Source organism: Homo sapiens, chromosome 5 (assembly GCF_000001405.40).
Source record: "Homo sapiens chromosome 5, GRCh38.p14 Primary Assembly".
Taxonomy (NCBI): Eukaryota; Metazoa; Chordata; class Mammalia; order Primates; family Hominidae; genus Homo; species Homo sapiens.
Window position 1 is genome coordinate 156,357,831 of NC_000005.10, and position 20,857 is coordinate 156,378,687.

The window sequence follows — 20,857 nt, forward strand, 5'->3', positions numbered from 1 at the left end:
TGGAGTACTTCCTAGGTCTCATGCCTAATATGTACTATGGTCAACCCCCCAACTTTAGAATAAATAAGAATGAGCAATGGATAACAGAACTCGGCAACACTGACTTTCTGCAGAATCAGGCAAGTCACTGAGCCAGTATTCATGAGGTAAAGGGTTAAAGTCTCAGTACATTCTGGTCCCTTAGCTAATCATCCAGTTTGGATTGGCCGATGTATGGGAGTTTTGACCATTATTACATGAGGCTGTCATCTGCCATGTTAAGTAACCATGTTTTCTCTCTTTCTCTCATAATCTCTTAATTATATGATAAAATAGGAAGTATTGTCCATAAAACCCAAAGACAGAGGAAAAGTATCATTTGGGTCACTCAGTCACTCCCTGGGTAAAATCAGCTTTGTGCCATACATAGTTGCTTGCCATTTAATAAATGAATGCTTTATAGTTCATATAAGCAATTTCAGGTAGTCTGAATTGAAACCTGCATTGCAATCCTTGGCAGGGAGGAGACAGCAGAAATAATTTGTGTCTTGTTCATTCACTAGTGGAGAGCCTTGTGCTTCTGACTTATTTCCTAGTCTCAGTTAAGTGAATGGTTTCTATTGGAAATCCTCACCTCTTCAAGTCAATTATTACTATAATTATGATATATTGACAGCCTTATGAATGAGAAACAGTTGTTTATTCAACACATGCTTGTTGAGTTCCTACAGTGGGCCAAGGACTATACTAAGTGCTTGAGATATGAGAGTGAAGAAGAGCAAATGCCGTTCCTCCCTCATGGAGCTATCTGTCTAATGGGGAAGGGATTGGAATTACTAACACAATCAAATAAATGTAAAAGAACAGTCAGGATAAGTGGATGGTGTAAAGAAGGCAGGAAGGGGTGATTTGGCATAATTGAAGAGGGGCTTTCAAGTCAAGATGATTGCACAGATGTTAAAAATGAAAACTCAACAAAGGAAGCCAAAGTAAAATGAAGAAATGGGCATCTAGTAATGTTGTATATGGATCTGCAGAAAATCTGATGTTTCCTCTGGGAGAGGAGTTGACTGGTGGTGGTGGTGGGTGGGGAGACAGGTGGGAGAGGGGTGGAAGGCAACTTTTCCATGCTACCTTATGCTGTTGAACATTTGGTGAGGAGAATGCACTTATGTAACACTTGTGGGATTCAAGAAAAATTAAAAATAAGAAGCTAAAAGGGAAGAGAAAAGAATCATAAATAGAAATAGGGAAAAGTCATGACAGTTGGTTTCTTAAGGACTATTTGGCTACCTTGTGGTATAATTGGGGACCTCACCTGTGAGGATAGAATCAGACTATAATTACTCATAGTGAATACAAATACTGTATGTGTTATGAAAAGGAAACTGGTTTATAACAGGTCTTTTGCTTTCTTCTTTGGAGCTGGTTTATAACAAGTCTTTTGCTTTCTTCATTGGCACAAAACTGTATCTGGCCACTTACAGGTATATCAACATTGACCTCAGGATTCACAGGTTGATTATTGTCATTAATTAATAGGATAACATGTATTAAGAGCTTATTCTGTGCCAGGTGTGATACTGAGCACTTAACATAGAACATATTATCTAATCTCTGTAACAGCCCTAGAAGATGAGTCCTATAATTACCCTCGTTTCCCAGATGAGAAAATTAATCTAGAGAAGAGGTCAAGCCACTTTCCTAAGGTTGCAGTAAGTCGCAGAGCTGGGATATAAAGCCAGCCTAGACCCAGAATTTCTAACAGCTGTTGCACATATCCTCCCTGATGCTCAGCAGTCTGAGAAGATACTGTCTCCATTCCTCAGAGCCTTAGTCTCTGTGCTTGTGGTATTATTAAGATGAGTCAACAGCAGGGCACATGAAGAATGCTGATGGTCTCCAGTATCCCTAAGATGCACTCATTTCTGGAACTTTCTTAATGCACACATATGAAGATGAATACTTATTCACAGCTGGTGCTATACCTCCCATACAGCTTACTGAGAAATTGTTTTCTCTTTGTGTTTTCTAATGGACCTTATTGATTCTTTTCTGTCATATTGTATGAATCACCTACTGAACTTAGAAAGGTTAAGAGGCCTCACAACTGGTGGACTTAATTATGTTGGAGCAAATCCTCTCAGTCCAGACTTCTCAAATTCTTGGTTCATTTTCCATTTGACTCTCATTGTCCAGGGTTGCCCTGATCCCATAGTGCAAAGTGATAGTGACAGGAGCAGCCAAATGTCCAGGCAGACAGGGGCGGGTCCCCACTGAAACCCCACCTCCAAGCTAAAGACAGTTTAAAGCCTGAAAGCAAAGCTACAACTTAAATCCTCAGATCAAATTCAGAACTTGTCTTCCTGTTTGGTGTGCTTTCCTCTGGTTGATCCCTACCCTTCGCCTATTTTACATATACCTACCCTTTCCTAATTTTTTTTTTTTTTTTTTGGAGACAAAGTCTTGCTCTTGTCACCCAGGCTGGAGTGCAATGGCACAGTCTTGGCTCACTGCAACCTCTGCTTCCCTGGTTCAAGCAATTTTCTTGCCTCAGCCTCCTGAGTAGCTGGGATTACAGGCACCTGCCACCATGCCTGGCTAATTTTTGTATTTTTAGTAGAGATGGGGTTTCACCATGTTGGCCAGGCTGGTCTCAAACTCCTGACCTCAGGTGATCTGCCTGCCTTGGCCTCCCAAAGTGCTGGAATTACAGGCCTAATTGGTTTTTTTACACTGTAGTGTCCACCTTTGAGTGCTGTCTTCACTTTAACCTTTATTGCATACTCACAACCCAATCAGCACACACTTCCCATCCTGTGCCTATAAAGACTCCAGACTCAGTCAGTAGAGGGGGAGATGGCCAGACTTTGAGGAGACCACTGGACTTTGGAGAAGAGATGGCCAGACTGTGAAAGACACAGCCTGACTTTGGGGGAAGACGACTCACCCTTCCCATCCCCTCTCCAGCTCCCCTTTCTACTGAGAGCCATTTTCATCACTTAATACAAATCTTAGCCTTCACCATCCTTCAGTTGTCTGCATGACCTCATTCTACTTGGATGCCAGACAAGGGCTTGGCGCCCACCAAGAGTAGGTACCCAGAAAGGCTGTCACACCAGCCGTTTGCTCTCACTGACAGAGGGCAACTGCCCCACATGATTGAGGCAAGGGGTCAATTGAGCTGCTAACACACTGCCACCTGCAGATGGCAGAACTAAGAGAATACTGTAATGCTGTAAGCCCCTCTGGGGCTTCGGGGTCATGGGCACCCTAACCTGGGTGCTGCTGCAGGCCCCATATGGAGCTTGCTCCTGCTGGAGCCTGGAGCGCCCAACAAGATCCTGTAGTTGCTTGTTCATGCGCTCCCTCCTGCAAGGGGTTGAGCACAGTGGGCAAGCCAAATAATAGGGCACCCCTGTTGCAAGTCCAATGAAGGGGCCAAGAAAAATCTTGCACCAAAAGGATGATTCGGAAAAATCCTGATGTGCACATACATGTGATTTTAGGAGAGAAGCAGTGTAATTTACCAGGTTTTGAAGAAGACAGACCTGGAAGCTTCTGCTCTGTTACTGATGATCTAGACAATTATTGGCAAAGTACCTAATCTTCTCTGACCCTTCCTTTACTCATTTGTACTAGTGAGATTAGCAATACTTGTGTTGAAAAGTTGTAATAAAGATTAGAGATAACCAGAAAGTAGAGTATGGTAGGCACTCAGTGCTAGTTTTTATCCCTGTCAACTTAAAACATTTGGAGAATTGTCTTACAAAGAGGAAAATAAGTTTCAGTTGCTAAAATTCAGCACAGAGTCATAAGCTCATGTTTAAAGGAATGACTAATAGAGTCTTAAAAGCATATGTAACTTGGGTGTTGCTGAAAATCATCATTACTGTAAGAAATACGGTGACTCAAATATTTTATATGTACACATTATTGCTGGTTCAACTTAAAATAGGACTCTGTGAAACACAGTAAACTATAGCTATTCTGGTGCATGAGATGGCCTATAAAGAGGTAAACTAAAATAATTATTGGTTGTGATGCATCCTCTGAAGTCTACAGAGAGAGATGACAACGTGAAATTGCATGTGGATTACTTTGGACATGGATCAGCATTTGCCTCCCTGGAAAGGCAAATTTTAGTAGAAGCCTAAAGGAATGATACTGAGACAGTCATGGGAAGAGCTGGGCAAGATTTTAGGCCGAAGGAAAAGCAAGTTCAAAAGCCCTGATTGAGAAAGGACTTAGAGTAGGCTGTCTATGTGTAGTGTCAAGAAAAGGGAATTGCCATTCAGACAGTCTCCACTGTAGGAACACACACCCTAAGTAGGAGCCAATGAAGAAGCAACACACATGTACTTGAGTCTCCACACTGCACTATGTCATTCATGAGAGGCCATTTGACCTTTACTGGCTTATTTCTGATTTGTATGGTGTGATGCTTACATCAGGTGGTTCAAAATCTCTGCCTTCTTGGAAGCCCTCTTCAAAGCCAATATTCCTATTTGTCAATAAAGGTTGAGTGTTCAAATGGTTTAGAAATAGCATTCGAGGCTGGCACGTGGTGGCTCATGCCTGTAATGCCAGCACTTTGGGAGGCCCAGGCGGGCGGATCATGAGGTCAAGAGACTGAAACCATCCTGGCCAACATGGTGAAACCCCATCTCTACTAAAATTATAAAAATTAGCTGGGAGTAGTGGTGCGCATCTGTAGTCCCAGCTACTCGAGAGGCTGAGGCAGAAGAATCACTTGAACCCGGGAGGCAGAGGTTGCAGTGAGCCAAGATCACGCCACTGCATGCCATCCTGGTGACAGAGAGAGACTCCATCTCAAAACAAATGAAAAAAACAGAAATAGCATTCCATAGTGTGACTACTGTGAACCTCGTGGCTAGTCTCTGGGATGGACCACTATGGAGAACTTTTCCAATAAGGGATACTTGGGAGCATTTCATGACATATACTCTATTTGCTTTATTCAGAGTCACAGCAACCTTCAAACATTGTAAATGGACTCCACTATCTAATCAGGGAATTATAGCAATATATTAATTGCCATTTCTGATTATTTGCATTTAATTAAGGGGTACTCTTGAGAAATTGAAGGACAGCATAACCTCAAAATATGGCTTTACATCTGGGATAATTGACTATAATTTCTGTCTTTGCAGCTTTCCCTAAATTGTTTATTTCTCCAGATGGTTTCTAAAATCTATGATTTTACCTTTTTTTTTTAATGGGTGAGTAGGGTTTTCTGATAAATGCTTATATGGTTTAGTTTTTGCAGCTAAATTAAAGCTTAATTAGTCAAAAATCCAGATCTGTGATATGTTTATGAAGTTTATACAAGCATAATTAATTTCAGTTAATTGCACAAATAGCTTTCCGTGTAAACAATAACCTCTTCACTACTGACCTCTAAATGTCAGATTTCAGTTTATCTACATTTCTAGCCTTCCATGGTAACTCACGTATTTCTAAAAGTATTGTTCTTTCCTTTGATTTATGATTTTATTAAGGGAGTCAGTGATTACCCCTGCAACCCACGTTTCATGTTTTGAAAATGCAGTGAAAAAAGTATAACATTGCTTTTGTTTTGATGGAAGCAGAAAAATAATTTAAAATATGATTTTGGTATGCTCTCCTAAGTTTATTTCTTCTCATTAAGTTACCTAGGTTTTTTTAGTCTATTTGAATGACAGCTCAAATTTCATTGATCAGCTCAATGTCAAAAATAATAGCTATTATTTTTTTAAATATCCTGATTGTTTCCAGGATTTCTCTTCCTGAGAAGAATAACATTACTGTAAACTGAGCCAGATTCTCTTGCTGTATAAGCTGTTGCCTTTGCAGAGGTATTTACAAAGCCATGCCTAATTCTAAGAAATTATTCTCTGTAAGTATGCCTTCACTTTTGATTGGCAATGAAATTTTCTTATTAGTTCCCTTATTTCCCTAATAAATCTTACATATAGATTGAAATTGATTAATTTTGTCTTTTTCTGTCTACCTGGTTGAAGGGAAAGGGGATGTCATTGCTTCAGGAGCTCTTTCAGAAGACCCAGAAATGTCTTTCCCAGGAGCACACAGAAAAACTCACTACCTGTCACATTGGCCTGACGGGAGTCACATGCCCAGGTCTGGACGAATAACTGTACCCAGGGAATGTGATTATGATCATTGGCTTGGTGGTCTCAGTCACAAGTCCCACACCTAATACTCAAGGCCTCTGGGCTGTGCAGGGAGGTATGGGCAGCAGAGTGAAAATGAGTCATTGCAAATGAAAGAGGAGGGGATGCTGAGAAAGCAGTCACAGATCTATCTCTCAGAACTGAATCTACTGAGTTATGCTGGGATTATGACAGCAGAAGTCTGGGGGAACCTCTTGACTTTAAAGTGACTTTTCCCTCAAAATGGTCAGTATATATGAATTTGGAATCTGTAAAGTGTTCTTCCTTGCTGTATTCCTCCAAGGTTCACTAACAATCAGTCTTATAGAATCAATTCAAAAGGACCATGTTTTTGGTGCCTATCTTATTATTAGTGTCAGGGCTACATTTTTTTTTTTAATGCGCAATGAAATCCATGAAATACTTAGCAAGAATACTTTGCAAATTTGGCTTTGGGGGCAGTGCATGGCTTATAGGCAGAAGGAAAAATATCTGACAATTGCATAAATTGAAAAACCCTTCATCCATTTCTAGGCTGCAGCTACCTATAAGCAGTTGAAAAAGGAGAAATCCAGTATGTGTGTGACTTTCAAGGAATCTTTAATGGTTCAATATCTTTTTAGTTTTGTACACAGACTATAGGAAGGTCATTTTTCCCTATGTGTATGAAGTTGGCCTCCCTCCCTTTGTGGGATTTTTGCTCATTTCAGAGGATAAGAAATGAGGACTGGCTATTGTTAGTGACAGGACAGTGCTTCAAGAATAATGAGAGTCACTCCTCCTTTTCCCTAAAGATTGGTAAAGCAAAAGTACACACTGGCTTGGAAACTTTTTCCAAATAAGTATCTTTGCCATTTTCTCTCCAGAACTGTAGAGAGCCTCCTTAGGACATTTGAGTTATGGTCTGGGCTTTTTCACAAGCTATGAGACCTTGGGCATACTACCTGTCGCCTCTGGGCATCATGGTGCATGTTGGTAAAACGGAGAGTTGCAAGGGCATACTCAGATAGCTTTTATCTCTAACACTGTACACTTCTACAATGGAGAGAAGTTTAAAAAGGGACTTCTGATTTAAAAATGACAGTATAAAAATGTGCAACTCAATTTAAAAATGGGCAAAAGACTTGAATAGACATTTCTCTAAGATGTACAAATGGTCATCAAGCACATACAAAGATGCTAGAAATCATAGTCATTAGAGATATGCAAATAAAAAGCACAGTGACTTATCGCTTCACACTCACATCCTCACACTCTCTTACCTACTAAAATGTCTGAAGATAAAACAGAATGAGGAATTATCTATTACCAAAAACTAGGAATTCCAATCAGTCTTTTCCCAGACTCTGGGAGGCGTCTTCATGAACCTTCAAGGTTTAGGAAACTACATTAATGGACACAGTTGAAGATAGTATATGATATGCTTTCAGAAACAGGTCATTTCCTCCCCTCACCAGGAGTTCTTTAGGAGATGCTTTATCTTCTGACCTGTATTTGTACCCTGGATGCAAAAATCCAGTGTCAGTAGCAACTGGAAAGATGAGCGTTTTCTCTTCTTTCTGCATGGATGTTGTTTTTGAGTTCATCTGCACTACAGTTTTCTTTCCCCACATACATATGCATACATGTATGTATACACATACATATACACAGATATACACAGAAGTATTTGTGTATCTGTGTATGCATAAATATGCCCATAAATATGGGCATATATGTGTGTATGTAGACATATATACAATATATACATGTATATATGTATACATACACACCTATTTACATGTATGTCTATATTTCCATGTGTATATGCATGTATACATAAATACATGTAAAATATACAGATATATTTAAATGTACATGTAAATATATACACGTGGGTATGTGTATACATTCATATATGCATATACATGTATACATATGTGTATACACATATATACATGTAAATGTGTATGTATGTATGCATAAATATGTACCTTCTATACATAAATCTCTGTAAGCAAGAGAAGGTACAAGAAGACATGAGTAGCCATGCAACCTAGAAAATGTTCTTAATAAATTTCATGTGTTCAGAATGTTAAAGACAAAAGCCTTCCTGACAAAATGAAGGCAACTTTGCAAATGTGAGACCATTCAGTCAGTGCCCCCATGGGTGCTCCTGAGAGCAGCATCGCGCTGGGATAAGTTTTTCCTCTTTGCTGTGTGAAGAGAGGGCATGTGGAGTCTACGGAAAAATACTACCAAGTGAGGAAGAGGAACATCATCCTGAGCACTTGAAGAAAGAGCACTCTGATGAAAACAATTCACAAATCAGAAGAAAGGTTTAGAAAATTGAGGTCAGGTGGTGGTGGAACAGGGCAGGGTCATTGTGATTTCTCCATGGCAAGAGTGGAAATTTGGAAGGACAGATCAGGCATAGATAGAAAGATTTTAAAATCAGGGGAAATCACCCAGGAAATGTACAGGTACTAAAAAGGCAATAGTCAAATAAAAACCCACTTTGGAATCAGCAAATACTTTGTACTGAGAAAAAGTAAATTAGCTAAGTGAAGAATAAGAAGAGGTGCTTTGCAGAAGAAAAAATAAAACTGGTTAAAGAAATACATGTGATTACTATGGAGGATGGAGAATGAGCTATAGAAATTCCTAAGAATGAGAGAAATTCTTGAGGAAGAGGCTAGAACTGGAGCTAACATAGCAACAATACAATGAAGAACATTCTTCTGAGCTGAACCTAGTGTCAGTTTTCATTGAAAGCCAGACAAAGTGAATGAAAAGATGACCACACCCAGATAAATCCTGGCAAAGCATATGTTACCAGTGTAAAAAAAGAAAAATCTTGCAAACAAAGTCATGCCTATCAAAGAATTCTCCTTTAGAATAAAGCAGAAAACAATAAAATATCTAGATACTTTTGAAGGGAAAAATGAATTCCAAGAATGTTTTAGTCAGATAAATGGTTTATCTTCTATAAAGAAATCTAAGATGCTTTCTCATGTATTTTAAGTGTCACAAAACATAACTTCTACACCCTCAGTTTGTGCCAGCCAACTAATAGCTAAGTACAGAATAGCCCCAAAATGAGAGACTTGTGCTATAAAATGACTGGGGGAGGTAAGCTCTGGAACTATTAACATATGAAAAATTTCTAAACATTTTCTGCAAATTATAAAATGCCAGTTGTAAACTGTTGAGAAACACATAAGATGTTTATCTAAAATTCAGTATCTAAAATGCCAGATTTACATCCACAAAGGTGAGAAAGGGGTAGAAAGAGGATGCAGGAAAGGGCATGGAGATATGAATTTCTGCAAAATGATGTGTATTATGTAGGAGCAATTTAAAAACTAACTTTTCAGTTTTTGATAGTAAGTAAAATGTGGATTGAATTTTTTTTAAAACAACAACAACAACCTTAAGAGGTATATGTTTTCCAAACCTTGAGAGGAAAGGGTAGGAAATTGTTATTCAAAAATAATAGGCAGAAAGCACAAAACAGAGAAGCAAGCTTGAAGTGTATTCAGATTCATTTTTTTAAAAGGCTCAATCTATGTGTTAATTCTAACCTAGAATCAGTCATGTAGTTTTGCAACATATTGGAACATACGGAACAACATTTAGCTGTAGATCTTTGACCCTGAAGGGATGTTGACAATCTACACCATTCCCTCCTACAGTATGGAAGCTCCCCTCTGACTTATTCCATGTGGCAGCCCTGTGGAATGGTCCTAACCACAGCCAGACGGGGAGTTAGCATTAGGCCCAGCTGTGGCTCAGCCTCGCTGATGACTATGCCTGCTGCTTTCAACTGTGGTTGTGTTGTAAGCTAGGTGGTTGTTGGAGGTGCCGCACAAGCTTGGTGACACAGCATGAACATTGTGCCAGGATAAATGTCATGACTATTTGAGCTAGGTTTGACCTTCAGCAATGTTGTGAAATCTGTGCCCTTATGTAGAAACTATTTGTTCATAGTTTCTCAGCATTTTCAATATATTTTTTAATTGAGGAGCTTTCCAAAACATACTAAAACCTATCCTAGCCTTTACCCTTCCAAAAACTGGAGTGCTTCTTCAGTATCTTTAGCTTAAACAGTCTGTATTCACGCTTGCTTTTTTTTTTTCTTTTTTTCGAGACGAAATCTCACTCTTGTCACCCAGGCTGTAGCGCAGTGGCACGATCTCGGCTCACTGCAACCTCTGCCTCCCGGGTTCAAGCAATTCTCTGCTTTAGCCTCCTGAGTAGCTGGGATTACAGGCGCCTGCCACCATACCCAGCTAATTTTTTTGTATTTTTAGTAGCGACCGAGTTTCACCATCTTGGCCAGGCTGATCTTGAACTCCTGACTACATGATCCACCCACCTCGGCCTTCCAAAGTGCTGGGATTACAGGCGTGAGCCACTGCGCCTGGCCTGTACTCATGCTTTTTAGCACATAATTGTGGTTATTATTTTCTATCTTATGACATGAAATGTCTCTTCCAGAAGAAACCTCTACCGTAGGAAGCAAGAAGACAGGATTTTTTTGTTACTTGCAGTACATTTCTTATTCTGTCAAGGCTTCTGTAGCTTCATTTTTTTAAATGGCAGTACTTCTGGACCGTAGACCAGTACTGGCTAGCAAGCAAAGCTTCATCTGTATTTACAGCCACTCTCCATCACTTGCATTACCACCTGAGCTCCATCTCCTGTCAAAAGCGTGGTGGCATTAGATTCTCACAGGAGCACAAACCCTGTTGTGAACTGCACACATGAGGGATCTAGGTTGTGCACTCCTTATGAGAATCTAATGCCCGATGATCTGTCACTGTCTCTCATCACCCCCAGATTGGACTGTATGGTTGCAGGAAAACAAGCTCAGGGCTCCCACTGATTCTACATTATGCTGAATTGTATAACTATTTCATTATATATTGCAATGTAAAAATAATAGAAAAAAAGTGCACAATAAATGTAATGCACTTGAATCATCCTGAAACCATCCCCTGCAAAACTAGTCCCTCGTATCAAAAAGGTTGGGGACCGCTGCTCTATATGCTTGAAGGCAGTGAGGTACACCAGATGATTCCCTGTAATTCTCTGCAGCTCTGAGATCTATAAGTGTCTGTGGAAGCCTGTGTGTATGAGACAGAGGGTTTAAGCTTAATAGAAAAGGTAACATAACACATTATTAATCTCTTCATGGCAAGGGCCACAAAACCATGATTTTTTTTCACCTACCCCAGTGCTTAGAACTGAGTAGTGAACATAGTTGATACTCCATAAGGACTTTTGTTTGCAGTGTTGTTTTTCTTTATGTCCCTTAAGTGTACCAGGAGCAAGGTGAAGAGGAATTTGGGGGCTTTGGATTAGGAGTCAAGACATCCCACTGGCAAACCTGCATCTAATGTGGCCTGAAACAATCCACTTAGAGTTCTCTGGTTAAATTTCCTCATTTTTGAAACCAAAGTCTTGGATTAGATTGGGGTTATAGACTAATAGTTGGCCAGTTTGTCTAGCAGAAGTGTATTATTAGACCTGCAGGGCGTTGAATATGTTTTGGTTGCTGTTAATTTGAAAGCCATTAAAGGAGGTGCATGTGCCTTGCATTTCACTATGGTGCTTGCCACTCCCTATTGGATAATCCAAGTCTATTCCACTCATCTACATTTCCCTTACTAGCTTTTAGAGGCATTTGATAGTAATTAAGAAAGGTAGGGGAGAGAGTTAGATTTTAAATCTAAATTTAGCTCTTCTGCTTTGCAAACTCCGGACAGTCAGTGTGCAGAGGTTTGTGGGATTTTTTTAATAGACATTGGGGGTTTAAAACCATTTGACTAATTAGAATGGATTGATGTGGGAAAAAATGTCAACCTAGGAAGGCACACCAGAGAAATTCCAAATGGGGTTTAAAATGGAAATAGAAAAGTTGAATCAGGCTACTTGTTTTCAGGTGCTTTCTCTTCACAGTCATTAGTTTGATCTGAACTACATCAAAATGGCCTTAATGGCCCTAGTCACAAGAGCTATTACAGGTTGTCTAACTTGGTTAAATTCTTTTCTGCTCTAAATTGTTAATGATTCAGCATTTCATGGCTTGAGTCAGGTGTTCTCAGTGGGCACCCTCCATAAAGGTCAGTTGCTTTCCAGATATCAGCATCCAAGTTTAAGGTCGCAGATTCTGCTCAGTGACCTTGAGAGAATAATACTTTATTACGCACAGGCTCAGAAAGCACAGTTTCATGGAGGGAGACCTCTGGTTGGCAATGACAGGAAAAGCAAAGAGGCTGATGAAAAAACAGAGTGCCAAGAAGGCAGGGGTGTGGGATTGAGGACAGCTCTCCAACAGGCGATACATGTTGCTGTGGAAGAGGGAGGAGAATTCCCTGTATACCAAACACAGTTAAGAGCTTCACATCACATCTTACCTGTCTCATCCTCTCAGGAGGCCAGGAAGTAAACACTATCATCACAAGGTCACAGATGAGGAAACTGAGACTTGGAAAGGTGAGGTAACTTGCCCATGTAAGAGCATTTTCAGAGTTTGTACATGAAATATTTCATGAAGGGCCTATTACTATTCTCTGCACACTGGTGTCTGATGAATGATTTATGTGCTTTATTCGTTTATGATGATATTATGGTGTCTGAAAATACATTTCTAGTAAACGTTGACATAAGAACCCTTTTGTCACCTGCATGGGATTGTCAGTATGAAATTTACAAGACTGAAACATACACATTCCAAGAGGGAGTGTGGTGGATGCATGACAGTTTTTTTACGGAGTTGATAGAGATCATTTCATGACATTAATAGGAGCAAAAAAACAAAAAGTAGAGGGGAGATTTTGAGGACAAACAGAACATCGGTGAGTAAGTGGAATATTAGGGCAGTCGGCAAAGAAATATACATTTAAAAATAATTGGCTTCAAATTTCTAAGATTCTGTGGGAGGCTGAGGGAGGAATTACTATATTTTTTTATTTGCAAACCAGCAAGTAGATGATTTGTGTACTGGAAGGGGGAAAAAAAAACAGTGATGTTTTTCTCCCCTTATGGCATATAGTTACCAGCCTAGGTTTCTATTTTTACTCTACCCTAGTCCCTGTGCATGATTTTCCCTTATTTAGAAAACTTGCAACTACAAATGTATTGAATTCATTTTCTTACCTTTCTGCTAAATATAGAGAACAATACCTATATTTTCATGCCTAGGGATTATTTTAAGCAGAATTGAGACCAATTGAAGCAGTCCTTATGTTTGTATCATGAAAACCAATTGTTTTGGTTTTTGAGTTTTTTATTATTTTAATCCACTCTGGAAGATGTTTCTCTTTAGGAGTAATTTTTTGTATTACAAATTGAGCAAATCTTTAAGGTTCTCTTCTACAGAGACAAATCTAGTGGTTTTAGGATTGATGAAGGAAACTCTGGGAATTCCTTTCATGATACTTGTAAGGAGTGAAAAAACAAGGAGAAAAAATTGTAAGTCTAGTAGTTGATTGGAAAAAGTTAAAGTTTCCTCTTGGAGACCATGTCTAAGTATGATAGGAGCTACAGGCAGGAGAGAAGGAGAGAAAGGACCGAGTGTCAGAAATGTGCCACCCCTGGAATTGTTCCATCAGAGAGGTGAGAAGTAAGCCCGGAATCAAAATGTGAGTCTTTTCCTTGATCATCAGCAAACTGCCTTTAGAACCACGTTTGTGATACTGACAAACTTACTGTAGTTTCAGGGCAGCTTGATTACAGAGACTTTGAGTTGTCCATTAGACTTGTCACACTGTCCAATAAATGTTCCCCCATCGTCATTAGGAAGATATATTCAGTGCCCCATGATATGCTCCGTCTAATCTCCATGCCTTTGGGCCTGATGGTTTATAGCACATCTTTGTCTTTTAAGTAACAGAAGACACAAGACATGTTGACTACACTAACGTGTCTTTTATATGTTAAATTTGGACTTTTGTGTAGCAACTAACATGTCAGAGCTATTGTACATTGACCGATATTCCATGTCTCCATCAGGGTTTATGCCATCACTCTAAAAAGGCACTGCATTTCCCTTAGTTCTCTTATTTTAAAAACTGGAAAAATCAAGCTATGATGAAAAGCAGAGGTCTCAAGACAATTGAGGCAATGTAGGACATAAGTGAATTGACAGTGGTGAATTTGCAGTTTCTACCAGGCCCTCTTTGGACCTCAGCTAGTTAATTGTGTGAAATTATAATGGAAAAGAGCAAAATTAAAAAACATGGCAAGAGGCAGGAAACATATCACTGAATATTATCTAAGAGGTATGGTATCGTGGGATTTATGTTTTATAGCACCTTTATATGTGTTAATCCATTATTTGACTTGCATATTTTACTTTGGTGCAGCTTTTCACAGATATGTGATGCAATAAGAGATGGCCTGTAGTCATCAACAATGGGTAGCTTTACTATTCTCACCTGTAATCTTAGCACTCTCCAGTCCATTAAGAAGCCATCAACCATGGCTCGTTTGAATTTACTTTCTCCAAGAAGTAGTCTTCATTTGGGCTTAGATTTCACCTCATCCTCCCTTTGGGCTGCTTTAAAATTATAGGAGCACATATAATCACACTTAACATTTACTTGTAGATAACTTTGTATATATATATATATCTTCCTCCATCAACCAAAATATTTGTTCCTTGAAGGCAGGGCTAGCAATTTATTCAGAATACTTTGAGGAAACATGGGCTATTTTAGCTAGTTACCTTGGAACAGTGGACATAGCTTTGCCTCCTACAAATTAGACATTTTGAAGCTTTTAAAACTGCATTCAGCATTCCCTCAGCATACTGATTCCTTTCAGCTTGCTGCTACCCATTGGGTGCTAAAATTTTTTGTTCTAAATACATGTCTTTCAGGATCAAGGAGCTTTGAATATGGGTTTTGTATTTTCCTTTTATATTCTCTTCAGGTCTTTCTAGGTGACAATCATGTACTCCTTTGCCTTTGTGTTTCCACCCTGAGATGCCATAATGAAGATGGCATTTCTCTACATTTAAGGTGTAGAGAAATGTAGTGATTTGTGTCTTCTTTCATACCACCCCAGAGAGATGGAATGGCCATTCTTGATCATCAGAGGTATTTGGTGTTTAAATATGCCATTAAGAGTTGCTCATAATTTAGCTGTCCAGACATTAGAGTAGGTTTCATTTGTGCTCGTGTTAGCATTCATGTCTTTTAGATAATTTACAGAAGAGTGTAATTTTCTCTAAAAAGATATCTGTAAGGGGGAACACTTACCAATCCAATTACATTTTCGACTTCTTCTTTTTCTGTACTCTCCAATAATTTTGCTGGACTTTTCAAGAAAAACAGGATCTCATATTTTTGTATATGTCTTCAGTCAATGCTAATTTTAGTTTTAATGTTCCCTCTTTGGTATCTCCTATTGATTTGGTAAGCGTTACCTTTAATCACTTAAAAGTAAGTAATGCAATGAGACCGCCCAAGGCTAACCTATATTTGGAAAAATCGCTACATTTAAGAATTAATTTAACAACAGTCTATTACACATTTTACTTTGGAAATTCACCAGGATTCTTTCCTTCTCTGTGAAAGCATTTATTACCCAGAAGAAATTAGGCCTAATTTTAGAGAATGCCACTGTGAGCCAAACTGCCTTACATTTCCAGAAATCTCCATGACTCTGACTTTAATAATAATGTTTAAAATTCACAGAATTTCAGTGCTAAGAGAAAATGAACGGATAGCAATTGTAATTAGAATACTACCACCTAACTTAAGATATTTTGAAGCCATTTAAACAGTAAAATGAGGCACAGACCAAGGGCTGTTGCTAGCTCAGGCCAAGAGGGTGTGACATAGTGGCATGGATAATTTTGTTTGGGTTTGTATTATGTTTGGATCCACATCACCCAGTGGTCAGCATGGAGGGCTTGATATGGAAAGACCAACCAGACTGTGCTGTGTGGGTGACGAAATAGAAACAAAGACCTTAGATGCCTCTTTCATGTTACTTTGCTGAGAAGAAGAGTAGAGAAATGAAACAGCAGTTGAAGGGGCGGGAGTGGAGTCAACGGACATTTTATTTTATTTTTTCGTGATAAGCAGTAACTCGGATAAAAATGGTGCAGTTTGGAGAGAGATTAATAATGCTACAGAGAGGGAAACTTCAGAGCTAAGAAAATGTTCAAAATACAAAAAAAAAAAAAATGCATGGCAATATCCTTAGTGTTAAAATTGCTCATTTCACTCTCTAGCCTAAAATATATTTTTGATTTAAGGACTTTTCTTACCCAAAACCTGTGCCACAGAAAATACCTGTGAAACAAGCTCACTCATGCCTGGCTTGATCACAATAACTAGGGTTTTTAGATCTTCCAAGCTGTGGAGAAAGTAACACGTGACCAACTATAGCATAACGCAAAAGTAATCTGTGGAGTCATTACTGCCAGTCAGCTTCACATGGGAGCAAAACATTAATAGTTTTCTTGGTCATCAGCTATTGAGTTTTCAGTTGCTCTTCTCCAAGAGCAACAGAAACCTAGCAAATTGGGCATTTTATTTTTCAGCACTCAACCTATTCGTTGATGGAAGAAAAAAAATTGATTGATTTTTGCTAAAAAACAAAGCAAATTTGAAAGAAAAAGTCTCAATTGTTTCTTGGAGCAGAAGCTTCCTGCATGAATAAACAATACAAAGCAACCCTGTCTTTTTTTTTTTTTTTTTGAGACGGAGTCTTGCTCTGTTGCCCAGGCTGGAGTGCAGTGGTGCGATCTTGGCTCACTGCAAGCTCCGCCTCCCAGGTTCACGCCATTCTCCCAAAGCAACACTGTCTTTTTGCCCCTGACATGCTGACAGCATACCAACACTCCAGCCGTGGTGTGAGGCAGCCTGAGTCAAAGCTCGCAGTCTCGCTAGTGTCATTCAGCTCTGAGAATAGCAATTTTAAATAAACATTTGTGACATGTTCGAAATGAAACACAAGCAAAATGAATATCAAACCTACTTACTATAGAACATCACTCTTCACAGTCTTTTTTGTTTTGCGTGTGTGTGTAAAATTTCAGATTTACCAAAAAATTGCAAGAGTAGTAAAAGAAACTTTTGAAGATCCTTTTCCAAGATTCACCAGTTATTTACATTTCACTTCATTTGCTTATTCTCCCCACTCCTTCCCTTTCCTTCTCTCTGTCAACCTCTCTCTTTCCCTCTCCTTCCGATTTTTTCCGTCTGCTTCCCCATATGTGCTTTTTAAAAAACGATCTGAAGGTAATTTGCTTTTAAATACTTCAATGTGTATTTCCTAAGAACAGTAATGTTCTCTTACATAAGCATAGTACAATAATAAAATCTCAGGACACTTAAAATTGCTGTAATTCTATTATCTGATCCACAGTCCATTTTCAGATTTTGTCAGTTGCCCCAGTAATATCCTTCACAGCTTTTTTTTTTTTTTTTTTTTTTAAAGAGTACTTGTTGAAGCATTAATGGTGCTACCTATGGTCTTGTGGTCTGGCTCCTTATAAAGACAGTGGGAAAATGTGAGAGTGAGAAGGATGGTCACCCATGTGTAATATTAATCTCCAGACTATAGCTGTGCTGTGTGATCATTTCCAAAGTGTGCCCCATTAAATGATTGTTTCAAGAAATGCCGTGGAAAATAAAGATGTTTTGTTCAAAGCTGAGGAAAAGCTTAAACAATTCTTTCCCCATGCTCACTGCATTCACTCCTTGAAGATGTACAAGAGTGCATTGGCTTATAAAAGCATCTGAACGTTTATGTATTTATGCCATAAGGAGACTGTATTATTTTTTAACTCAAATTCTCTAAGTTAATTGACTATAGCGCATCCTACTGAAGCCCTCATCTACCTATACAGAGTTTATTTTGGAAACTCTGCTATATTTTTACAGTATTTATTTTGCTTTAAAATTTTCTCTTTTATTTATTTTTATTAAAATTGTGAGCTAGTCAACCTTTTAAAACATTGAAAATGACTGACATTTTATGACAAAAATGTAAGATCTACATTATTGATTTATCGTATATGTACAGTTATAGATAGAAGATCAGTGACTTCATATCAGTGCTTAACCGTGTGAGGCAAACACTAGATTCTGTAACAGGCAAATCTATGTCAGCAGTTTAACAAAATAGTTTGTTGCTCACTCACCTGGAAACAGTGGCTGCCTGGGATGAAAGCTCTGCTCAGTTACTCAAGAACCCAGTCTAAAGGAGGTTTTGCCATTTTTATTGCAATGGCTCCCCATATCATCTTGGGTGTTAACATCCACACAGCAAACATAGAGTGAGAGAACACAAAGAATTGTAGGGGAAATTTGTATGGGACTAGCCAGTGTCATTTACATGTACATCTGTTGACAAGATTTCACCCACAACGTCATGACTGATGGAAGAGGGGCTAGGAAGTGCTAACCCTGGTTGGGTAACTGCTTTAAGTAGCAGCTTCAAAATATGAAAGGTGAACATAAATTTTTGATGAACTAATCTCCAGAAGTCTATAATCATGCATATGTAATTTACAAGTTTAACTTTGATATTTTGTTAATCATATGTTATCTCACATTGACCCTAATGAGATTGGGAAGGCAAGATAAATATACCCATTTACAAATGGAGCAGCTGAATCTGACTTTTAGGTGATCAGAGTAGAATAAAATGGTTTATGTGCATCAGATTTTTTTTTATTGGTTACTAATCAAGTATCTTTGTGTTTTTCAAAAGTATTTTAGCCTTAATTATACTTTTTAGGAGAAAATTATACTTTTAGGAGAGGAAGTTTATTGAACTTGCCATAGTCTCCAAATTTACCAGGGAATTAACAAAAGTGGCCCAAGGTGCTCTCTATTAAAATAATTTAATACAAATAGAATTTTTAAAAGATATAATTTCCATTTGTTGACAGTGGTGAAAACAGGAAGTTTGTGTCTGTTGATTCTGGGGTTTCACTTTGAGTACCATGGCTAAGTAACAGATGAGAGCCAAAATTAATCATCAATAAAAAAAATGACTAAAAATATAAAGCATGCCTCTTCAACAGTTTTTCATAAGATATAAATATCTTGAAACCACTAAAATGAAAATAAAACATTACAGAGAAAAAAAAGTCATGTAAAATCCCAAACCTCTATTTTAAAAAATAAATCAGTGTTATGAGGATAATGAACTTAATACTTACTATTTAATTAAACTTTAAGCTAATTAGTCTAATTAATTCATCTGATAAGCATCTTAATATTGCCAGCATTAAGCTGAATCTTCTAGAATGTGGTTTTAAATTTGGAGGGAGTAATTTAATGATGCTTAATATTGGTTGTTTACACTGCAAAATAAATTTGATATGTTAATGGATGCCCAACTCCCATCGCATTATAAAATTTATGTTGATTCTCACTGCTTCTATCCTGCAGGCTAGCCTATTCAGTATTCTCACAACACACTATGTTTTCTTATTAGAGCAAATATCACAGCCAAAAAAGTAATGATTTGTTATAATTTATGTAATATATGCCTTTATTCTCTAAATAATGTTAAGCTCCATGAAAGCAAGAATTGTTTCTGTCTTGGTCACTGCTGAATTCAGAGAGCCTAGTGCACGACAGGCTTTCAGTAGACAATGGAGTACATGAATGGATGTCCTCACTGAAAATAAAGCCAGCAGTGCACTTAGAGATGGGAATGGTGTGTACTGGTGGGTTCCAGCATTCAAGATCAGTAAAATGTAGGCTAAAACACACACTCTTTACTACCAATAATGTCCATTAGGTACCCCCATTCTTGGCTATACCATTTTTTAAGTAAAATGGATAGAGTTAATTATGTTGTTTCTGGTGTTGCATTTTCCATTAATTGCACATTGATCTCATGAATATGAAATCTCTGGTATGAGAAAAACTCAAGGTCTATGGATTGTGTTTGTTATCCATTGCTATTTAACATAGTGGTTTGAAACAACAATCATGCTTATTAACTTCCACACAAATATTTTTATTTCTCCTATGATTTAGCAATTTCACTTCTGGGTATAGATCCCAAAGAAGTGAAATCGGGGATTGAGGCAGATATTTGTTCACTAGTGTTCATCGTAGCATTATTCTCACTAGACAGAAGGTAGAGCAACCCAAGCATCCATTGACAGATGAATGGATAAATAAAATGTGGTATAGACATACAATGACATGTTATTCAGCCTTAAAAAGTAAATTCTGACCTGTTTTGCAACATGGACAAAACTTGAATATTTTATGCTAAGTGAAATCAGTCATTTACAAAACTCAAATGCTGTATGATTCCCCGTGTGTGAGATAGTTAAAGCAGTCACATTGCTAGAGAAGGAAAGTAGAAAGATGGTTGCCAAGGGGTGAGGGGACTGGAGAGTTATTGCTTAATGATACAGAGTTTCAGTTTTGCAGGATAAAGGTTCTGAAAATAGATGGGGATGCTTTCACAGCAGTGTGAATGTTCTTAATACTATTGAACTACACACTTTAAAAGGTTAAGATGGTTAGTTTTATGTTGTGTATTTTACCACAGTTTAATAAATGTTTTCCGTGTTGTGTCTAGCATTTTATAATTCCCCCCACCTATACAGACCCCTGCAATCTCATGACCATCAATAAGCTCCCAGTATGTTTACTTTCTGATATAAGCCAACTTTTGTTTTCAAAAAAGACTTTTCCTACCATTTTCCCATCACTCAACCTAAACAAAAT

General features: G+C 38.2%; 1 protein-coding gene and 1 long non-coding RNA gene across 10 annotated transcripts in view; one reads left to right on the forward strand and one right to left on the reverse strand.

Annotated features, from left to right (window-relative positions):
- The window catches only part of LOC124901120 (uncharacterized), an 85,782-nt gene extending 67,343 nt beyond the window's left edge, over positions 1 to 18,439 (reverse strand). The window contains exon 1 of the long non-coding RNA XR_007059016.1: positions 18,298 to 18,439. This is a non-coding gene — a long non-coding RNA (uncharacterized LOC124901120). The remainder of the gene's footprint in view (positions 1 to 18,297) is intronic.
- The window catches only part of SGCD (sarcoglycan delta), a 1,039,957-nt gene that overhangs the window by 629,999 nt on the left and 389,101 nt on the right, over positions 1 to 20,857 (forward strand). The gene's annotated exons all lie outside the window — the stretch shown is intronic.